This window comes from Homo sapiens, chromosome 10 (genome assembly GCF_000001405.40).
Source record: "Homo sapiens chromosome 10, GRCh38.p14 Primary Assembly".
Lineage (NCBI taxonomy): Eukaryota > Metazoa > Chordata > Mammalia > Primates > Hominidae > Homo > Homo sapiens.
This window is the reverse complement of record NC_000010.11, coordinates 13176783-13199697: the sequence shown is the minus strand read 5'-3', so window position 1 is coordinate 13199697 and position 22915 is coordinate 13176783. Positions and strand designations below refer to the sequence as shown.

The 22915-nt window shown below is 42.9% G+C and overlaps 1 protein-coding gene across 4 annotated transcripts in view; it reads right to left on the bottom strand.

Annotated features, from left to right (window-relative positions):
* The window catches only part of MCM10 (minichromosome maintenance 10 replication initiation factor), a 49553-nt gene that overhangs the window by 11413 nt on the left and 15225 nt on the right, over window positions 1-22915 (bottom strand). For all 4 annotated transcript variants that reach the window (XM_011519538.3, XM_047425437.1, NM_182751.3 and 1 more), the window contains exons 7-16: window positions 19091-19256; window positions 16598-16765; window positions 13418-13534; window positions 10618-10817; window positions 8299-8399; window positions 7333-7443; window positions 7130-7247; window positions 4429-4657; window positions 1931-2075; window positions 891-1009 (exon numbers count right to left, since the gene is read on the bottom strand). In XM_011519538.3, coding sequence (XP_011517840.1) covers window positions 891-1009; window positions 1931-2075; window positions 4429-4657; window positions 7130-7247; window positions 7333-7443; window positions 8299-8399; window positions 10618-10817; window positions 13418-13534; window positions 16598-16765; window positions 19091-19256 — 1474 coding nt within the window. The remainder of the gene's footprint in view (window positions 1-890; window positions 1010-1930; window positions 2076-4428; window positions 4658-7129; window positions 7248-7332; window positions 7444-8298; window positions 8400-10617; window positions 10818-13417; window positions 13535-16597; window positions 16766-19090; window positions 19257-22915) is intronic.

Genomic DNA, 22915 nt, shown 5'->3' with positions numbered 1-22915 from the left:
GAATCCATAATGAAATCTGTATCTTTATCACAAATCTTTTCATTTTTTCTTATTTGCATTAGGATATTTATTGATTTTTTTCGAAATGACTAGTATAGGTAATTCATATTATCTATGAATTTTATTTCAAGATAAGGAAGCAATACAAAATACTTGTTATTAAAAAGGGTCCTTGGGTGTGATGGGGTTAACTACTGATTTAGAGCATTTGAAATGCCAATATAAAAATACTGGAATGGGAAAACTCTTTTTGCATATTGCAAGGCAGAAAATAGCAGCAGTGTAGAGCCATTTAAACATAATTTCACAGCCATAACCAAATGCAAACATTTTTATAATATTGATATCTATTTAAGTCATGTTAAATCAAATGATATTCTTCAGTAAAGAGACAAGGACAAAGCTAAAATTTATTAGAAATTCTCCTGTTCTTCAAAGCAAACTCAAACAAACTGACATATACCTACTTTTAGATTTATGTAAAAAACAGATTCTTGGCTGGGTACGGGCATGGTGGCTCACGCCTGTAATCCCAGCACTTTGGGAGGCCAAGGCTGGAGGATCACTTGAGGTCAGGAGTTAGAGATCAGCCTGGCCAACACGGTGAAACTCTGTCCCTACTAAAAACACAAAAATTTGCTTCGTGTGGTGGCAGGCACCTGTAATCCCAGCTACTTGGGAGGCTGAGGCAGGAGAATCGCTTGAACCTGGGAGGCGGAGCTTGCATTGAGCCGAGATGGCGCCACTGCACTTCAGCCTGGGCCACAGACTGAGACTCTGTCTCAGAAAAACAAAATAAAACAAACAACACATTCTTGGTCCTACAGCTAGCACCTTGGCTTTGAAGGACATCGGACATCAACACCATCCTTGAGCTTTTGGGCTCTTACCTCTTTCAGGATGCCTGTGTGTTTTGATTTTGCTTTTAGGATTTTCTGAAATTCCTCAGATTCCAGATAGGCAAGTTGTTCTCTCCTTTTTTTCCTGGCAGGCTCCAATTCATCCTCAGCTAGGGCACAAGGAACAAACATTAGCAGCGACCAAGAAATTTCAGAAAGCCAGTGCGCCTCATCAACTCTACTCCCTCCCACTCCCTCCTCCTCTGCCTACCAGCCCTTCAAACTTGACCTACCCCCGCTGGTCCCAGCAGGGAAAAGCTCTCAGAGGTGAGCCAAGAAGCTGAGCCTAGAATGTGGGGTGGTGGCAGATTTTACCACTAAATAGAATCTCTTTTTCACCTTCAAATAGGCAGCTGACGATAGTAACAGATAACAACAGTGTAAATAATGTTGACAATTATGTTAAAATGATATTGCCAACTTCAGAGTTTTAAAAATAAAGATATGGCAATTTAAAACAAAGGAATTCTAGTTCTGTCAAAGTAAATCTTTATGCTAATATATATATGTACAAAGATCCAATGAGCAATCCTATTCCCAAGTATTCAAATTGTGCCCAATTTCATTCCAATTTAATGTAATTATAAAAAAATCAGTTCCAGCTCACGTCTGTAATCCCAGCACTTTGGGAGGTCAAGGCGGGCGGATCATGAGGTCAAGAGATCGAGGCCATCCTGGCCAACATGGTGAAACCCCATCTATACTAAAAATACAAAAAATTAGCTGGGCGTGGTGGCGCGCGCTTGTAGTCCCACTTACTCGTGAGGCTGAGGCAGGAGGATCGCTTGAACCCAGGAGGCAGAGGCTGTAGCGAGCCAAGACTGCGCCACTGCACTCTAGCCTGGCAACAGAGCAAGACTCCATGAAAAAAAAAAAAAAAATCAGTTCCACCCATAGAAATTCTATTTAGGTATTCTATATAGGAGGAAATGGAAGTAATTGCTTGATATCTGGGTGCTGGTTTGGGTTTAGAACATATTTCCCTTAGAAACAGTTTCTCTTTCCCACTGTTAACTGTGAAACTGCAGTACCTTGAGAAGAAAACATGGTGTTTTTTTCTACACGTTCCTTCACCTCCAGGATGTCCTGAGGGTCCTTTTGTTTCTTCTTAATGCTGTTTGGGTTTGTTTTTGTAAGAACCTGGCCTTTTGCCCTTAATTTGGTGATAGCAGCTAACTAGAAAAAAGGGAATGAGAGGGAGGTAAAGATCTAAAAGATGACAGAGGCACTTATAGACCTGGATCCCTTTTTTATTAGTAACCAGTGAATTCTGGCTGTTCTCTGACAGAAATTGGCAGAACATATCTTAATTTTACTTAGTATTATTAACACAATTACTAGAATATAATAGCATGGGAGACAGGTCTATATGTTGATGAATAAAATCTTAGTTTATTTAAATATAACAAGTTTGACATCAGCAAGACTGCAGGCTTCCAGATCCATAAAGGAGCCACATCACCATTTTGGAAGTTTTAGAATCAGAGAGAATTAAGATAAAGTTCCAGCCAGCTCTGCCACGGACTAGCTTGTAACCCAAGGAAAATTACTTAATTTTTCAAGTATAAAATGGAAATGGGGCTTGGCATGGTAGCTCATTGTAAACCCAGCACTTTGGGAGGCTGAAGCAGGTGGATTTCTTGAGCTCGGGAGTTTAAAACCAGCCTGAGCAACACAGTGAGACTTCATCTGGGCATGGTACAAAATTAGCTGGGCATGGTAGTGCATGCCTGTAGTCCCAGCTACTCAGGGGACTGAGATGGGAGGATCACCTGAGCCCAGGGAGATGGAGGTTTCAGTGAGCTGTGATTGCACCACTGTACACCAGCCTGGGAGACAGAGTGAGACCCTGTCTCAAAACAAACACACAAAAAAAGAGAAGGAAATGATGATATAGCATTGACCTACCTTTGAAGGTCATGGTTGTATGGATGAAATAAGATAATATCTGCAAAGTATGAATCTTTACATAGCAAATACATTCCTGGCCGGGCGCAGTGGCTCATGCCTGTAATCCCAGCACTTTGGGAGGCTGAGGCAGGTGGATCACTTGAGGTCAGGAGTTCGAAACCAGCCTGGCCAACATGGTGAAACCCTGTCTCTTCTAAAAATACAAAAATTAGTCAGGCATGGTGGTGGGCACCTGTAATCCCAGCAATTCGGGAGGCTGAGGCAAGAGAATTGATTGAACCCAGGAGGCAGAGGATGCAGTGAGGCGAGATCGGACTACTGTATTCCAGCCTGGGTGACAGAGCGAGACTCCATCTCAAAAAATATATATATAAATAAATAAATAAACATAGTAAATACATGGCACACACATATCACAAGTACTGAGTAATATGGACATGTGCCATGGTTATTGTAGGTATTCCTGTTGTTATTATTATAGGTAAGGTTTTGGCATACAGCAAGCTTTGCCCTTCATTTGGCTGCAGCTGCTAACTTAAGGGAAGAGAGAGGCTCGATTGGGGCACTCAGGAAGTGGGCAGGTGGGGCTCTGGGTGCCCTACCCCTACTTCAGCCGCAGCAACTCAGCTTTCACCTGTCATGGGACTGGACTTTTGTGTAAGATTTCTTTTAAAGGATTCTTGGTTAGGCACAGTGGCTCATGCCTGTAGTCCCAGCACTTTGGGAGGCTGAGGTGGGACTGCTTGAGTCCAGGAGTGCAAGACCAGCTTGGGCAGCAAAGGGAGGCCCCCATCTCTACAAAAAATACAAAAATTAGCCAAGGCGTGGTGGCATGTGCCTGCAGTCCCAGCTACTACTTGGGAGGCTGAGGCAGGTGGATGAATCGATCCTGGGAGGTTGAGGCTGCAGTGAACCATAATTGCACCACTGCACTCTAGCATGGGTGACAGGGGGATAGTCTGTCTCAACAAATAAAAAATAAAACCGCCAGGCATGGTGGCTCACACCTATAATCCTAGTACTTTGGGAGGCCGAGGTGGACAGATCATTTGAGGTCAGGAGTTCGAGACCAGCCTGGCCAACATGGTGAAACCATGTCTCTACTAAAAATTAGCCGGGCGTGGTGGTAGGCGCCTGTAGTCCCAGGTACTCGGGAGGCTGAAGCAGGACAATCGCTTGAATCTGGGAGGAGGAGGTTGCAGTGAGCCGAGATTGCGCCACTGCACTCCAGTCTGGGTGACAGAGTGAGACTCCTTCTCAAAAAATAAATAAATAAATAAATAAATAAATAAATAAATAAATAAACGTAAAAAAAGGATTCCTTAAACCACCATTTTACAGTCTCACCTCAACAATTCCAAGCATTGTTTTCCTACTGTCAATGCCTCTGGTTATAAAACACTATCTTCCTCTAGGCTACCTCTTGTAGCCTGACAAGAAAAAGTGTTGAGATAACAGATCTAACTTTCTTTTAGTATTATGTTGACACTACCATGTTTTCAAATTACACTGACTCTAATGATCACGATCAATAAAGAGCTATTAGGTGTCTGTCTTTCCTCCAGCTCTGCTCTACAGAATGCAAACTCAAGTGCTAAAGAGAAGAGATGCCAGTTACCTTTTTGGCTTCTGCTAAAGCACTCAGTTTTGGTCTTGGTGGTGGTGACTCATCATAAAAGAGAACATCATCTCCTTCCAAGACACCTCGCCCCAGCTTGGGCGTCATTGTGGCCGGGGCTCCCTCCAGCCTGGGGAACTCGGATCCTGTCCGTGGAGGCTGAGCAGGGGGCTGTCTTGATGAAGATGGCACAGCTGGGCTCTCAACTTCACTTGAGCTCTGCAGAAATCTTTAAAGAACATACAGTCAAAATACGCAAACAGGGTTTACGAAAATAAAAACTCTAGAACTCAAAGTGGACTGGGAGGCGGCAGGCAGGCCACCAGTTGGGAGCTAGTTGTTAGCAAAATAATGTCCCCTTCTAGGCTGGTAATTCAAATTTGCACACGATAAGAACAATACTAGCTTTACTAACTCCTCCTTAATTGAGTTTTCTTTGAATAAGCTGTAATTGTCCTAACACTTTAGAACTGATAACTGTTTTTATCAATTGGCTGTCCAGTGGATGTCATCCACAAGGAACACAGCTGAAGACGCGGTGTGAACTGTATTCCCACCCCTACCGTCAGCTCTAGGGCCTGTAGGAACTCATTGCACCTCCCTGCATCTTTGTTTATGCTACTGGGAAGAGACAATACATGTGAGACATTTGGAAGTCATTAATGAAAAACACTGTAACTTGCAGCGATTATTTTACATCCCCTTTCTTTTTTTTGATTTTTTTGAGACAGAGTCTCGCTGTGTCACCCAGGCTGGAGTGCAGTGGCATGATCTTGGCTCACTGCAACCTCTGCCTCCCAGGTTCAAGTGATTCTCGTGCCTCAGCCTCCCAAGTGTTGGGATTATAGGCGTGAGCTATCATGCCTGGCAAAAAATAGTTTTAAGAGCTATTTTACTTTTGTTTTTGGAGACAGGGTCTTGCTTTGTCACCCAGACTAGAGTGCGTTGGCACGATTGCGGCTCGCTGCCACCTCTGCCTCCCAGGCTCAGGTGATCCTCCCACCTCAGCCTCCCGAGTAGCTGGGTCCACAGTGTGCACCACCATGCCCAGCTAATCTTTGTACTGTTTGTAGAGACAGGATTTCGCCATTTTGCTCAGGTTGGTCTCAAACTCCTGGGCTCAGGCGATCTGCCTGCCTCGGCCTCCCAAAGTGCTAGGATTACAGACATAAGCCACCAAGCCAGCCTCATAAGAGATATTTAAAAACAAATAACAAACCCCAGAAATCATCTAGTCCAAACTTCTCATTTGATCGATGAAGAAACTGAGGCCTAGGATCACATTACTCACAAGGGCCAGACTCAGGATTAGAGCCAGGCCATCCCAGAGCAGTACTCTTCCCAACCGCACAGCCACTCTTGCAAGCTCTAGGCTGTGTTTGCAAACTGCCTATCAAATCCTACGCAAAGATAAGGTTTCCTTGGCCAACAAAATTCTGAAAATTTTCATTACGCAATGCCTTCAAGCTGATGGGCATTCTCTATTTCCCACGAGGCCCCCAACTCCATACATATTTCTGTGTCCACGTATATAATTTATGTCATCTGTAGGCTCAAGATGAATAGCTCTATAGATATCCCACCGGCACTTCAAACTAATCTGCCTGAGACCAAACCCATTCTCTTACTTTCCCAAAGAATTTCCTCTTGTCTTATCATTGACTCCCTTTCATGGATGTGGTTGCCTTTCAGCAGCCCAGATTCGGGATGGCAAAAGGTTCAGCACCAGAGCACAACATGTGTGAGCCCAAAACTCGGCCCCACCATAAACTAGCTCTCTGATCTCCAGGCACACTATTAGTAAAACAAGGCTGAGAAGCCTCCGGAGGCTCAGATACTGTGTTTATGGAGTACGTATGAAGTGCCTGTGAACCGCAGCTCTCATTAGTATTCAGGTGACCTGAGTTCAGGAATCATTCATTTGTCCACCTACCCTATGCATTTCCACTTGATTTTTTTTTTTTTTAATTATTGGCTGAAGCCAAGTAACACATTTCCACTTGCTTTTGCCTCTAAAATGACTCTCCATTTTTAGTGCTTCAGTTTTGTCCTTTATCCAAAGAACTGTATTCTACTCACTGGCTCTGCCTGTCATAAAAAACTGAATTGCGGCAAAACCCAGAAATGGCAGCCAGGCAAATCCAGGCTTGCGTCCAGGAATTTGAGACCAGCTTGGGCAATATGGCAAAACCCAGTCTCTATAAAAAAATACAAAAATTAGCCAAGCATAGTGGCACATGCCTGTAGTCCCAACTACTTGGGAGGCCAAGGCAGGAGGATCATTTGAGCCTGGGACATGGAGGTTGCAGTGAGCCGACACTGCAGCATTGCACTTCAGCTGGGGTGACAGAGTGAAAACCCGTCTCAGAAAAAAAAAAGAGAGAGAGAGAGAAAATGACAGCCAGCATGTGAACCTACGCTCTCCCCCTTCACAAAAACCCTCTTTACATACACTTCACTCCTTTCCCTTTTCCATGGTGATAACGACTCTAACCTGTACCATTTGGTGTTGGGAGTCACCAGTGTAAGAAATAATACAGCCTTAAATGCTATTCAGGTTATGGGAAAACTATTTTAAACTTTCAGAGTTAAAACGCAGCCAACCGAAACCTGAAGTCACATTCTGGAAATCGATGAAGACGTTCTGAGGACGCCTGAGATGGATGACCCAAGCGGGGAATATTAAATCTGCTCCTCTTACCGCTTCTGTATTTCTTCTGATTTCCTTCTCCTCATCTCCAACATCCGCTGCTTCTGTTGCTTCAAGAGTGCTGAGGCCGAGATGGACTTGATGGCTGGTTTTGGGCTCCCCATAATCCCTGAAACAGAAGCCCAGACTGAGGGGGTGCCCTGGGAGGCTGAGGGAACACAGGGACACACGTGTGGCCATGCAGCTGATGGTACCTGAAGCTGTGGCTTTGGCTAAATGTTGTTTTAAGTTCCTGGCTCCACACGTCGGCAGGTCCATCAGTTCCTTGAACTCCTCAGAGCAAGACAGGCTCTTCTGGGGTATTCCTGTGCCAGGTCAACACCAGCTTTAGAGGATTCACATTCAGATGGTTTGAGGTCATATGACATACCACTTTCTAAACTCTGCACTTGTAATTTTAGTCATACGTAAACGAAGAAGACGGAATCCCAAGAGGAAAGAAAAGAATCCTTAACCTCTATCATCAGACTCATAGGATGGCAGGGTATCTCGACTATATTTTATTTCTAGTAATGATTAGAATATTAAGCCCTTAAATCTGGGGGTCATTCCATACCCTGTTTCTGGAATATCCGCTAAGGATAAGGGTCCCTGACCACAAGCCCAGGATGGGGGCTGCATTCTCTGATCAAGACTTGTTTTTATTTGTTTTTATTTTATTAAAAATTTTTTTGTTTTTATGACCAAGACCCATTTTAACAAAAGATAACCAATAAGCTTGGCCAGGAAGATAATACTGCTGATTCTAATGCTGGATGTAAAGAGTTGGACCCAGATACACCAAGAAATTTTAAAAAGCATACTAAGGTAAGACATAGCTAAAATCAATATGCTGTTTTTTTCCTTAAGGTCCTGCAAACCTGGCTTGATTCCTTTAGGTTAGACCGCGCCACTCACTAAGTACAGGTGATGACTGGATTCTTATTACTTAAGAGTATGAGCTGTATCCATTTTCAACCCTAAAGACTGCTTGCTTGCTTGCTTGCTTGCTTGCTTATTTATTTATTTTTGTGCATGAATAAGTTCTTAGTGGTGATTTCTGAGATTTTGGTGTACCCATCACCGGAGCAGTGTACCCTGTACCCAATGTGTAGTCTTTTATCCCTAAGGCTGCATAATTAAACTGGAGAAAGAAATTTCTTATGGAAAAACAAAGTTACCGAGTTTTTGCCGTGTTTCCTGGATGATCAAGTTTGTGCCCTTAACAACCAGATTACTCAGAGTGGTTTGAATCTTCTTCTTAGGAGCCACAGCTGCTGCACTGAAATGACAAGTCACCCCCAAAAGGAGAATCACTAAAGCCTCAATGCTCTGATGAGGTAAAGAAGGCATAGATATCATCATTTATTACACACACCGTCAAAGTTTCTCAAAACACCATCTAAGTAGGCTTTCTTAATGTTACGGCCCAATAGCATAACTGGTTTATGCACTGTGTCACAGAGGAAAAGCTAGAGGCAGCCTACAAATCCACTTGAGGCCATTCTGGAAGGAAATTTGGCAAAAGAAATAAAAAAAAAGCCAATGCTTTGATCCAGCAGTCTGGATATTTATCTTAAAATAATTAAGGATTATGCAAAAATTTAGGATATTAATGGCAGCTTTGTTTATAATGTCATACATTGGAAACACCATTAACGTTCACCCACAGGGAATTGTTTAAATGAATTAAGGCAGAGTATGCAAAAGAACACTATGTAGCCACTGAAAATACATGAGAAAAACATTAATTATTTTACACTGGAAAAAAAGTGGATACAAAGAATAGGAACAATATGATCTCATTTTATATTACTAAAAATGTACACATATGAAGAAACACAACACCTAGGAGTATATATACCAAGGAACTAACAGTTTGGGGTTTTTTTTTTGAGACAAGATCTCACTCTGTTGTCCAGCCTGGAGTACAGTGGAGCAATCCTGACTCACTGCAGCCTCAACTTCCCCAGGCTCAAGCAATTCTCCCATCTCAGCCTCCCAAACAGCTGGGACTACAGGCATGTGCCACCATGCCCAGCTAATTTTTTTTGCATTTTGTAGAGATGGGGTTTTGCCATGTCGCTCAGGCGGGTCTCAAATTCCTGGGCTTAAGCAATCCTCCTGCCTTGGCCTCCCGAAGTGCTGGGATTACAGGTGTAAGCCACTGTGCCTGGCCTAGAACTAACAGTTTTTCAGGTGATAGGATTATAGTTGGTTTTTATTTTCTCCATTGGTTGGATTGTATGTTCTTTTAAAAGACTAATATACATGTATTGTTTTAGCAGATTGGAAAAATTCAGAAATAATTTTAAATCTCAAAAACATGCTTACTGTTAAAAAAGAAACAGGAAATGAGTCCTCTTGCCCCATTCCTGCTGGATTGGGAACAAAAATCTATGTTTTATTCTTGGACCAACTGTAGCTGCCTCGTGCCAAGTCCTCAGATATGCTTTATATAATGTAGTGACGAGGCCACTGATTACAAGCTTATCCAAACCATAGCCTGCGGGCCACATGCAGCCCAGGATGGCTTTGAATGCGGCCCAACACAAATTCATAAACTTTCTTAAAACATTAAGAGATTTTTCTTTTCTTTTCTTTCTTTTTTTAAGCTTATAGGCTATCATTAATATATTTTATGTGTAGTCCAAGACAATTCTTCCAAAGGGGCCCAGGGAAGCCAAAAGATTGGACACCCCTGGATTACAGCGTCAGGGGCTGTAGTGACTCTGAACCCCCAGGCAAGGGGCCATGGATGCCTGCCCAGCATCGCCCCACTCCCCATGTGAAGCTTCATAGTATATTCACTCACTGAATGAAATTTGGGTTCCATGAGGTCTGTAGCCTCACTCATATAGTCATACGAGAAATAATTAAAAGGGTGTTAACACTGTAATTAACACATTTTTAATGGCCCTGATGAAGGTGCACTATTCACATTAGAAGTCAAAGAGGGGCTGGGAGCAGTGGCTCATGCCTGTAATCCCAGCACTTTGGGAGGCCGAGGCAGGCAGATCACCTGAGGTCAGGATTTCGAGACCAGCCTGGCCATCATGGTGAAACCCTGTCTGTACCAAAAATGCAAAAATTAGCTGGGCGTGGTGGCACGCGCCTGTAGTCCCAGCTACTCAGGAGGCTGAGGCAGAAGAATCACCTAAACCCAGGACTTGGAGGTTGCAGTGAGCTGAGACTGCACCACTGCACTCCAGCCTGGGTGATAGAGTAAGACTCCGTCTCAAAAAAAAAAAAAAAAGTTGAAGAGGAAGAGTGGGCTCTCTTAAAGTCCAACACAACATAAGTCAATCTCTCTCTCTCCTGAAAGTTTTTCTCTCTACCTGGGAATAAAAGCGGTCTTTAACCAACTTGTTTCAAGTAGTGAGTTATGAAAGATAAAACCTGTACAAGTATCCTATGACGGTTACAGGAAGGTACAACCAGTAGGTTTAGTCTTTGATAAGCAAAATCCTCTGCCCAAAAGAAGCCCGAGAACGTCTTACATTGAAGCTGCATACGAGGCAGAAGAAACCCCTCCGTAGTAAAAGCCATCTTGGCACAGCCGTTCTTTGAGGCTGGTGCCTCTGCGGGCAAACTTCTTTGGAATTCGTCCTCCAGAGAAGGTGGACTGCAGATCCGCACGCTTTGCGCTGAGCTTCTTGTACTGAGCCTGGACATGGTACTGACAGTACTCACAGTCACGCTGCAAAAGGCAGAGCAGTGGCATCAGGATGAGGGCAACAGGCTGGGAAACAGCAGTGAGCAGACACAGTTCCTTCTCCCCACTTCCCGGAACATGACGCATGCAGAGTCCTCCCTGCTGACCTCCACGACCGTTCCCAATGTGGAAGGGCTGCTCAGTCCCTGAGGGGAAGAAGTTCTTCCCTTCGAGTCCCCTGAAAGCACTGTTCTGGTGAAATACCCCTTGCCCTCTTTCTACAAAGGAAATCAGCTTTTAGGATGAACCTTGAAAACAAGTTAGGTGAAAGAAGTCAGACACACAAGGTCCTATGTTATTTAATATAGGACCTATGTTATTTAATATAAAAGGAAGTTTTTATAGAAGAGGCAAATCCATAGAGACAGAAAGCAGATTAGACGTCACCAGGAGACGGAGGGAGTGGGGATGGGAGTGATGACTTTATGGTGCCATTGTTTTTACAGGGTGATGGAATTCTGAAACCAGGGAGCTGGTGGTTACACAACTAAATATCACTGAATTATATATGTATTTTAAAATGATTAACTGTATATTGTGAATTTTGACCCAATAAAAAATAATTTAAAAACAAAATCAGCTCCCAGCGAGGTTTTTCTAGCTGTTTCTCTGGTTGATCCTCGGACAAGTGCTATCCTTTCAGTGAAAGAAACAAAGAGAGATGGTGCAGCATTGTTCTGCTGGGTGAACAGTAGTTACGGCGACAATGGATTTTTTTTTGGAGACAGAGTCTCGCTCTGTCACCCAGGCTGGAGTGCAGTGGCGTGATCCTGGCCCACTGCAACCTCCAACTCCTAGGTTCAAGTGATTCTTCTGCCTCAGCCTCCCAAGTAGCTGGGATTACAGGTGTGCACAACCACGCCCAGCTAATTTTTGTATTTTTACTGGAGACGGGGTTTTACCATGTTGGCCAGGCTGGTCTTGAACTCCTGGCCTCAAGTGATCGGCCCACTTCGGCCACCCAAAGTGCAGGGATTACAAGTGTGAGCCACCGCCCCATCCAGACAATGGATTTTTAAGAATCTAATTCTCACGGGGAGATCTGTTGGGTACTTCACTCTGAAACCTCATTTTCCAACCGTCTCCCACCTTATTCTTTCCTGTCCACCAATTAATCTAATAGGAAGGAATAAGGGAATAAAAAAAGATTAAACCAAAACCTGTCATTTAATCCTTTCAAAGAACTCTAAGAAGTACCTCTTCACACCTACTACAATGGCTATAACAAAAAAGAAATAGAGTAACAGGTGCTGATGAGGACAGGGAGAAACTGGAAAGTTCATCCATTGCTGGTGGGCCACTTGGGAAACCAGTCTGGCAGTTCCTCCAAACTCTGGACAGTTACCATGTTGACCCAGCAATCCCACTCCCAGGTATATGCCCAAGGGAGTGGAAAACATACATCCACATAAAAACTTGTATGTGAGTGTTTTAGCAGCATTATTCATAATAGCTAAATGTGGCAACAACCCAAGCGTGTATCAACTGATGAAAGAATAAACAACGTATGGTATATCCATACAATGGAATATTATTTACCCACAAAAAGGAATAAAGTGTTGATAAATGCTACAGCACGGATCAATTGTGAGAAAAATTATGCTAAGCAAAAGAAGCCAGACAGAAAAGGCCACATATTGTGATTCCATTATATGAAATGTCTAGAAGAGGCAAATCCATAGAGACAGAAAGTAGGTTAGTGCTTACCAGGGGCTGGGGGAGAGGAGACTGGGGAGTGATTGCTAGTGGGTACTGGGTTTCTTTCTGGGGCAATGAAAGGGTTCTGAAATTACACAGTGGTGATGGTTGCACAGCTCTGTGAATGTACTAGAAATTACTGAATTGTTGACTTTATTTATTTATATTCTTTTTTGGAGACAGAATCTCACTCTATCGCCCAGGCTGGAGTATAATAGTGCGATCTCAGCTCACTGAAACCTCTGCCTTCCAGGTTCAAGTGATTCTCTGGCCTCAGCCTCCTGAGTAGCTGGAACTACAGGCGCCCACCACCATGACCGCCTAATTTTTGTATTTTTAGTAGAGATGGGGTTTCACCATGGTGGCCAGGCTAGTCTCAAACTCCTGATCTCAGATGATCTGTCCGCCTCGACCTCCCGAAGTGCTGAGATTACAAGAGTGAGCCACCACACCTGGCCTGAATTGCTTACTTTAAAAGGGTGAATTGCATGGTATGTGAATTATACCTAAATGAAGCTATTATTTTTTAAAAAGCCCTAAGAAAAGGTATAATGGAGTTAAAATATAGGCTAAAATACAATTTTCATTGTATTTCATCATGTTTGCTCTGTGGAATTACAAGAATTAAAGGCAAACAAAAATTCTGTCTTAAACTTCTTGGTCAGATAAAAGATCACTTTCCTAAGAGGTTAAATCCCCTCACCTTTCCCCTGCCCTCACTTTTTTAAACTGGCAGTTATTAACCACACATTAAATTTTCTCATTTTGACTCTTCCTTTAAGTGGGAAACTCAGTTCCAAACTGGTCATCACAGCTAAAGCACCAACAGTTTATTCCTAACTGTTCTTTTCTTTAGCAGAAACCATCCTAACAAGGCTGAAACCAACCAAATTCACAGTCTGCGTGCACGGCTCTCCATTCTTCTTCTTGGCTTTACAGGTTCCCAGGTCAAGAGCTTCACCCATAATTAAGACCTTCTGAGGATGATCGATAGATAAACACACCTGTAAGAAAAGGTGGGGCAGGAGTTAAAGGCGGACAAAATTATGGCCTTTTATTAGCAGGAATAGAAAAAAGAATGGTTGGTGCTGATTTAAGAAGGTTATTGCCAGGCGCAGTGGCTCACACCTATAATCCTAGCACTCTGGGAGGCCGAGGCAGGTGGATCGCTTGAGGCCAAGAGTTTGAGACTAGCCTAGGCAATGTGGCAAAACCCTGTCTCTACAAAAAACCACAAAAATTAGCCAGGCATGGTAGTGCGTGCATGTAGTCCCAGTTACTTGGGGGGCTGAAGTGGGAGGATCACTAGAGCTTGGGAAGTCCAGGCTGAAATGAGCTGTGATCACACCACTGCACTCCAGCCTGGGCAACAGAGTGAGGCCGTCTCAAAAAGGAGAGAGGTTTTAGTGGTCTAAAGGAATTTGAAGCCAGGGCTCTATAACCGTTTTAGGAACAGGGATGCAGAAGGCACCTTCAGTTCTTTTCCCATTTTCCATCCTTTCCTTCATCTTTGCGATTGGAATCCTGATTTTCTCTAGGCTGGCTGACTTCTCAGCCTCAGGTCATAGATCCTGTTCCCTGTTCTCCCAGCACTCCTTAGAGCTAGCATTGGTTATGTGATAAGTTCTAGATGCTCAGACATAAACAGGAGTTGGTAGGGAAGCTTCTGCTTTCCTGACAAAATGAGTTAGGAGGCTGGCTCCCCCTTCCTCTTCACTTCTTGCCTTGAATGGAGATGACTGGAGGGAGACAAGTCCCTCAAGGGCCTTGCTGAACTCAGCTCTCTCCCTTCTTGTTTGCAATTCTCTTCTTGGACAGACTGTACCAAGAGGGACTGTCCTGAATAGCTCGGGCTTTGTCCTCACCCCTCCTAGGACAAGATCTCTTACAACACTTGAGCTCAATAAGCCAAGTAGCCTCCAGGTTATAAAACCCAGATCAGGGTGCTTTCATAATCCCTCCGCTGCAGGGTGAAGAGAGCCATGAGCAGACAGGACTCTGCCTGCCTGGAGTGCCTTGACTGAGTCTTGGTGGACTGGCTCAACCCAGATCCTAGGCTTCTGTGGAGTCTCGCTGCCTAAGGTGCTTTGCCCAATTTGTGTGTGCTTTGTCTCCCGGATGCATACTCCTGTAGGCAGGCTTGTGCAAAGCTGCTGGTAGCTTGGTTTATGCTGAACCACTGGCAGCTGGGTTTGTACAAAGCTTCCAGCCAGATCTGGGAACCTACCAGATCTGGAAATAGTAGAAATTGGCAAGGTGTTTAGAGCCCTCCCACAGGACTGGTAAACAGTGCATGGTATTCCTCTCCAAGAAACTGGCACCCTTCCACGGTATGCCAATTCACAGTGATGGCTAGAGTTTCAAAGGCATCTTGTGACCAGGAGAGAAAGGCTGAGACTCACAGAGATGTCACTCTTAAATCACTATAGTGTTTAAATCTGAATTTTTTTAATATGTAAGAAAAATAAGCCCCACTGTTTATTGTTGAAAAGAAACTATACTTAAGTTTGTTTGTTACTTGCAGCCAAACACATTCCTAACCAATAGAGGAAGATTTGTTGCCATTCTCTGGTGAAAGCAAGGAATGAGATAACATTTTTCTCACTTCTCTTGAAAATAATAATCTGACTACAACAGAGTAAAGCTCCATGCTGGGTCAGAGTAGAGAAACTGCCAGTTGCTATTCACACTGTGTCTAGATTTGCAATTTCCTAGAGAAGCAGTAGGTAGTGCCAAAACTCTAGTATTTGAGAAGATGAAAATTCACTTTGATTTTAAACTGCAGCTATGGTTGTCACAGTCAACGGAGCAAAATCCCCTCAACTATAAAACACTGCTTTCTTGATGCCACCATAAAAATTTATATAAGGAATCATGCTGGGCACGGTGGCTCACACTTGTAATCCTAGTACTTTGGGAGGCCGAGGCGGGTAGATCACTTGAGCCCAGGGGTTCGAGACAAACCTGGGCAACATAGTGAAACCCTGTCTCTACAAAAAACACAAAAATAGGCTGGGCGTGGTGGCTCATGGCTGTAATCCCAGCACTTTAAGAGGCTGAGGCAGGTGGATCACCTGAGGTCAGGAGTTCAAAACCAGCCTGGCCAACATGGTAAAACTCGTCTCTAATAAAAATGCAAAAAAAATTAGCTAGGCATGGTGGCACATGCCTGTAATCCCAGCTGCTGAGGGTGAGGCAGGAGAACCACTTGAACCTGGGAGGTATAGGTTGAAGTGAGTCAAGATCACGCCATTGCACTCCAGCCTAGGCAACAAGAGCGAAACTCCATCACATACACACAAAAAAACCACAAAAATTAGCAGAGCATGGTGGCATGCACCTGTAGTTCCAGCTACTCAGGAGGCAGAAGTGGAAGTATCACTTACGCCCAGGAGACGGAGTTTGCAATGAGTCAAGAACACATGACTGTACTCCAGCCCGGGCAACAGAGCAAGACTCACTTTCAAAAAAAAAAAGAAGGTATGAATCCAAGGAAACCTGAGTACAATAGTTCAAAAACTCCAGGAACTTTGTAACTAATTTGAAAAGATGGAATAAAAGTAGTTGTTACAAAACACTTTAGAATAGGTGGAAATTCAGAATACTGATGGGTAATGAATGAACAAAAAATGAAAAGCCAGATTCACGGAGACACAATCACATAAAAGCATGACTTATTTTCTGGAGGTAGACTAATACAAACTTTTTTCTTTTCTTGTCTTTTTTTTTGAGATGGGGTCTTACTTTGTTACCTAGGTTGGAGTGCAGTGGCACAATCAGGGCTCACTACAGCCTCAACCTCCCACCGCAGCCTCCTGAATAGATGGAACTACAGTTGTGTGCCCCCACTCACAGCCAGTTTTTACATTTTTTGTAGAGATGGGGTTCTCACTATGTTGCCCAGGCTGGTCTTGAACTCCTGGGCTCAAGTGATCCTCCCGCTTTGGCCTCCCCAAAGTGTTAGGATTACAGGTGTGAGCCACTGTGTGCTGCATCAAACATCTTTGATAAAACTCAGTTAACTTGTAAAGACAATCATCAATCAAATCCCAGAAACAGGCTCTTACCTCCTCTGAACCATCCTTGGGCTTCATGGGGTTGGCATTGAGGATCCCTACGACAGTCCCCTGCTCCGTCTTCCAGAGCGCTTTGTGAACTTCTCCAAATAAGAACAAGGACACACATTGTGTCAGGTCACGAAGATCATTCAGTTTCCATATGCTGAAGGTTTTTCCCTGGAACAAATAGTTATTTTTTATAATTTTGAACTGTAGGTTATGCCGTCCTCATTTATGATTCAAGAGTTTTACTATGGAAAACTATATGCCTATAATCCATAAAATCCAAGTTTTTTTGTTGTTATTCAAATATGTATCATCAGCATGTGTGATAACTTTAACCCATTCTCTAGGCTTTTGCATTCTATTACCCTTCTCATTTTAGAGATGAAAGTGAAATAAAGCAAGCCAGTGGCAAACTTGTTAGCAGAGTCTCTAGTTATCTCGGGTCTAAGCAGAGGGAGTGGGATAGCACTGCCTTTCTAATGACACAGAGACACACACACACATCATTAAAAGGACAGTGGAAGGTATGACAGTACCATTTAATAACTTACTGATATGAATCAATATTAGGTAAATGAGTAAATCTATTCCATATCATTGGTTAATTATATGATGATTATTATTTTTAGAGACAGAGTCTTGCTCTGTCATCCAGGTTGGAGTGCAGTGGTGCAATCATGTCCCGTTGCTCACTCCAACTCCTGGGCTCAAAGAATCCTCCATCCTCAGCCTCCCAAGCAGCTGGGACTACAGGCATGTGCTACCAGCCCCAGCTAATTTTTTTTTTCTTTTCATAGAGATGAGGTCTCACTATGTTGCCCAGACTGGTCATGAATTCCTGGGCTCAAGTGATCCTCCCACCCCATCCTCTCAAAGCGTTAGGGTTACAGACGTGAGCCACCAAGCCTAGCCTAAGTCTATTATTAATATGAAAAAAGAAGTTTCCTTTCTAGGCTATTACATCTCTGCTTAGCTTACAAAAGCATCATTTCAAGAAAACTGGTTGAGTTTAACCTTAACATTTCAGAAGTATGATTAAGTATCTGAAGAAATACAGCTCAAAATGCTGACCGATTATAATGTGAAAAACCTCCACTTTTACGGTTGTTTTTAAAACCAGAATACTGTGAATAATCTTGACTTGCACTATCTCACAGAGGCATCCCGGGCTGGGGATGGTTATGGGTTACAGCATGGAATCTACTGCCCGGACGCTGAGCTGGAATCCATCTTCCAGGGATTTGTGCAGTGCCTGTCTTGGAAGAGTTCAGATAAATTCTCGTGTCTATTATTATTATGTCATTACAGCCACTTATGAAGTAACTAAGAATTTGATCAAAGGAAAACCAGACCTGTCCACATTTACCTCAACAGTGACAGGGCTAGTGTAAGACCGGGTAATCTTTAATTTTTTAAAATTTTTTTAAGTTCTGGGGTACATGTGCAGGATGTGCAGGTTTGTTACATAGGTAAACGTGTGTCATGATGGTTTGCTGCACCTACTAACCCATCACATAGGTATAAAGCCTGCCATGCATTAGCTCTTTTCCCTAATGCTCTCCCCCTCCCTGCCCTCCACCAACAGGCCCCAGTGTGTGTTGTTCCCCTCCTTGTGTCCATGTGATCTCATTTATTTAGCTCCCACTTATAAGTGAGAACATGCAGCGTTTGGTTTTCTGTTCCTGCATTAGTTTGTGGAGGATAATGGCTTAGGACCAGGTACTCTTAAAATTCAACCCCATGTCAGCTCTAACGAAAAACCAAAGGTGGGCCAAGATCTAAATTAGAGAATAACATCATGATTGAGCATGATCAATCATAGCATTTTAGAGATAGGAGAGATTTTCAATCTAATCAAAGTCAGTTCCTTCATTTTATAAATAAGGAAATGGAAGCCGGTAAAGAAAGATTAACAGCCAACCTAAGGTAACATCGCTAGTTAAAGGCACAAGGCTTAGAAGACAGGCTATCTGACTTGCCAGGTCACAGAATAACTTTCCCATTTATGACTCAGTCAAAAGTGATTTTGAAACTTGTTAGATCTTTGGTAATAACCATCAAATTAAATATATCACACGGCACTGACACAGGCCAGCAATTTCAGCACTTTTGTGGTTGGTACTTTACATCTAAAGGGACCTCCAAAGAATCGGTGAGCTCAGCCTCTTTGGTTACTTGCGCCTCTCCTCCATGGGAGAGATCACAGTGTCACAGGGACAACCACATGTGTCACCCAAAACAATGACAAGTGAAATGCAGTAAGGATGATTTGGACAATGGAAAGCCCAAGAAACCTGTACCACCAGGTCTTATTTAAATAGGGCATCCTTTGCTTATACCCGCTGGATACCAACTCAATGATGTGTGGTGATTCTGGAACTTACTATACTTATTTCTAAATGAAACACCAACAGGTTCCAGTTAACAAATTCAGGACATCGAATTCCCACTGTCAGTTTGTAGTAAAACAGCTAAGAAACCAATACAATGGCTTACACTATTCACACTCTGTGGCGTAACCTTCTTCAATATAACCCCAAATGTCACCCAATCTATTTCTTCCAGCTTCTCTCTGGCCATCTTTTCCTTGATCTGAGACAGTCTGATCAGTTTTCGGCCGGTCATTTTCTTGTTCATTTCTGTGGAGGATACTCGAGGCCGCCTGGGTTAAGAAACCAGCGATTAGTAATTATGATTCTAATAAAGAAATTACCTGGCACCTTAGCAGGTGGTAAGGGAGTGTGATGGTCAGAAACCTCTACAGTACCTGTTCTTGGGAAGCTTAGTTATATAGTATGACCAAGGCATCCATTTTTATAGCAAATAAATAAATAATTCTTTTTTTTTTTTTTAAAGATGGAGTCTCACTCTGTTGCCCAGGCTGGAGTGCAGTGGCGCAATTTTGGCTCACTGCGGCCTCCGCCTCCCAGGTTCAAGTGATTCTCCTGCCTCAGCCTCCTGAGTAGCTGGGACTACAGGCATGTGCCATCATGTGCTAATGTTTGTATTTTTAGTAGAGATGGGGTTTTGCCATGTTGGCCAGGCTGGTCTCAAACTCCTGGCCTCAAGCGATCTGCTCGCCTCGGCCTCCCAAAGTGCGGGGATTACAGGTGTGAACCACTGCGCCTGGCCTCTAAGATAATTTTTAAAGCTAGGTTTGCCTTTCTTTGGATATAGATCTAGGGCTTATATAGAATACAAGAAAGATCGCAAATCCTTTAAGCTCTTAAATTATGCAAATTTTAATATTCTTCTGCAAACAATCTTTTTTACTTTATTACAAAACCATGAATTAATATTCATAAATAAGACACTTAAATTTCATCGATTATGCAAGAATTTCACAGGTTCTACTATTCTAATTGAATTTTTTTTAAAGACAACATTTTGACATACAATAAAGGCTTTTGAATGTAGCTTCAATTAATATATTCTTATTCCTAATGACTGAGTCAAAAAACTCTTAGGGTTATTAACATTTGTTTCATCTTTGATAGCGTTATATATTTGCAGACGAGAAAAGACACTAAGAGAAAAACATGGTTCTTCACTATTTCATGAGTCTTCTGGAACAGAAAGTCCCAGAGCTAAGTTTGAACAATGAAGAATATTCAGGAAGCAAAACACTGACTTCAGTGGGAAAATTCTTTCCTTTGGCTGATTTCTGTGATTGTAGTGTGATAGGCTCCCCCCGACCCCAAGTTACTTAAGGGTGTATGTCAGCTGCCTGAACCCTGAAGGCCAGGTAGGGGGCCACAGCCATGGTGTCCAGCCAAGGAGCAGATGTCCCTAAGAACCCAACCATTCTGGAGCATATCTGGGAACACACCAAGAAAAGAGCCTCATCACACATACACAGTAGGCAAACAGCTTAGGGGAGTCCTAGCTAGAGCAATCAGATGAGAAAGAAATAAAGGGCATCCAAATTGGAAAAGAAAAAGTCAAATTATCCCTGTTTGCAGATGATAATGATCTTATATTTGGAAAAACCTGAAGACTCCACCAAAAAACTATTAGCACTGATAAATAAATTCAATAAAGTTGCAGGATACAAAATCAATATTCAAAAATCAGTAGCATTTCTAGATGCCAACAACGAACAATCTGAAAAAGAAATCAAGAAAGTAATCCCATTTACAACTGCTCCAAATAAAACACCTAGGAATACACTTAACCAAAGAAGTGAAAGATCTCTACAATAAAAACTAAAAGACATTGATGCAAGAAATTAAAGAGGATACCAAATATGGAAAAATAGCCTATGTTGATGGATTTAAAGAATCAATGTTGTTCAACTGTCCATACAATCCAAAGCAATCTAGAGCGTCAATGCAATCTCCATCAAAGTACCAATGACAGTCTTCACAGAAACAGAAAAAACAACCCTAAAGGTATATGGAATCACAAAAGACCCAAAATAGCCAAAGCAATCCCGAGCAAAAAGAACAAAACTGGAGGAATCAGATTACCTGACTTCAAATTATACGAAAGCTATAGTAACCAAAACAGCATGGTACTGGCATAGAGAAACCAGAAACGAATCCATAAATCTGCAATGAACTCATTTTCAACAAAGGTGCAAAGAACATACATTGGGGAAAGGACAGTCTCTTCAACAAATGGTGCAGGGAAAACTGGATATCCATATGCAGGAGAATGAAACTAGATCCCTATCTCTCGCCATATACAAAAATCAACTCAAAATGTATTCAAGAGGCTGGGCACCGTGGCTCACGCCTGTAATCCCAGCACTTTGGGAGGCCGAGGCAGGTGGATCACCTGAGGTCAGGAGTTTGAGACCAGCCTGGCCAGCATGGCGGTTTCTACTAAAAATACAAAAATTAGCCAGGCACTGTGGTGCGTGCTTGTAGTCTGAGCTACTCGGGAGGCTGAGAGGCAAGAGAATCACTTGAACTCGGGAGGCAGAGGTTGCAGTGAGCTGAGATCACGATACTGTACTACAGCCAGGGAACAGAGCAAGACTGTCTCAAAAAAAAGATTAAAGACTTAAATCTAAGACCCAAAGCTATGAGATTACTAAAAGAAAACATTGGGGAAACTCTCTAGGACATTGGTCTTGGCTAAGATTTGTTGAGTAGTAACACGAAAGCACAGGTAACCAAAGCAAAAATAGACAAATAAGCAGATCTCCCAAACAATCTTGCTGCCATCCAGGGGTGCCTTACATATAAGTCCGAGTCATTCTTTGGCTTTTGGATCCTTCTCAGTTCTGAGGAAACTTTTTTTTTTTTTTGAGATAGGGTCTTGCTCTGTTGTCCAGGATGGAGCGCAGTGGCACAATCTTGGCCCGCTGCAGCCTTGACTTCCCCACTCAGCCTACCAAGCAGCTGGAACTAGAGGCGCATGTCACCACACCGGGCTAAATTTTGTTTCTGTAGAGATGGGGTTTTGTCCTGTTGCCCAGGCTGGTCTCAAACTCCTGAGCTCAAGCAATCTGCCACCCTCAGCCTCCCTAAGTGCTGGGATTACAGGTGTAAGCCACCATGCCCAGCTAGGGAAAGGTTCTTCTATACAGCCCAGGGTTTTTTCTGTAACAATGAGTTAATAGATTAAAAAAAAAAAAAAAAAAAAAAAGCTCCAAAATCTAAAACTTTTGAGCACAAACATGACACTCAAAGGAAATACTGCAGCATTTCAGATTTGGGATTTTCAGATTTGGGATGCTTAACTAGCAAGTCTATTAAATGTAAATATTCCAGAATCCAAAATCCAAAACAGTTCTGGTCCCAAGCATTTTGGATAAGGGACCCTCGACCTGTGTCGGGGAATTTCTATTAATATGTCCTTTAGAGTATTTTTAAGGCCTGAGGTTCACATTTAACAATGACAAAGAGACCCAAACAATTCTGTGATCCCTTAAATTTAAAAGCCACTCAGAAGCTTTTGCTGAGTAGTTTAAGTCTCTTCTATCTCAATTCTGATTCACATGTGCAATAAATGCCCACCAGCAGCAACATGGTTCATTACCCATAGGGAGCTTCAAGTGGGCCATGGCTGGGGCAGGCAGTAGCATCTCAGGTGGGGGCAATTCTCTACCTTGAGAAGGAAGCCTGCAGCCCCCTCAATGAGAACCACAGCTTCTACTGCTGTATTCTGTTTCTTAGAGTCTGTCTCAGATGTAATTAAGATATAAATACATTCTTCAGTTTTGGAGAATACCAACTCTTTACAAGACACTTCTTGTTTGTGGAAACAAGGTCTTGTTCTGTTGCCCAGGCTGGAGTGCAGTGGTATGATCATAGCTCACTGCAGTCTTGAACTCCTGGGCTCAAGCGAACTTCCTGCCTCAGCACCCCCAGG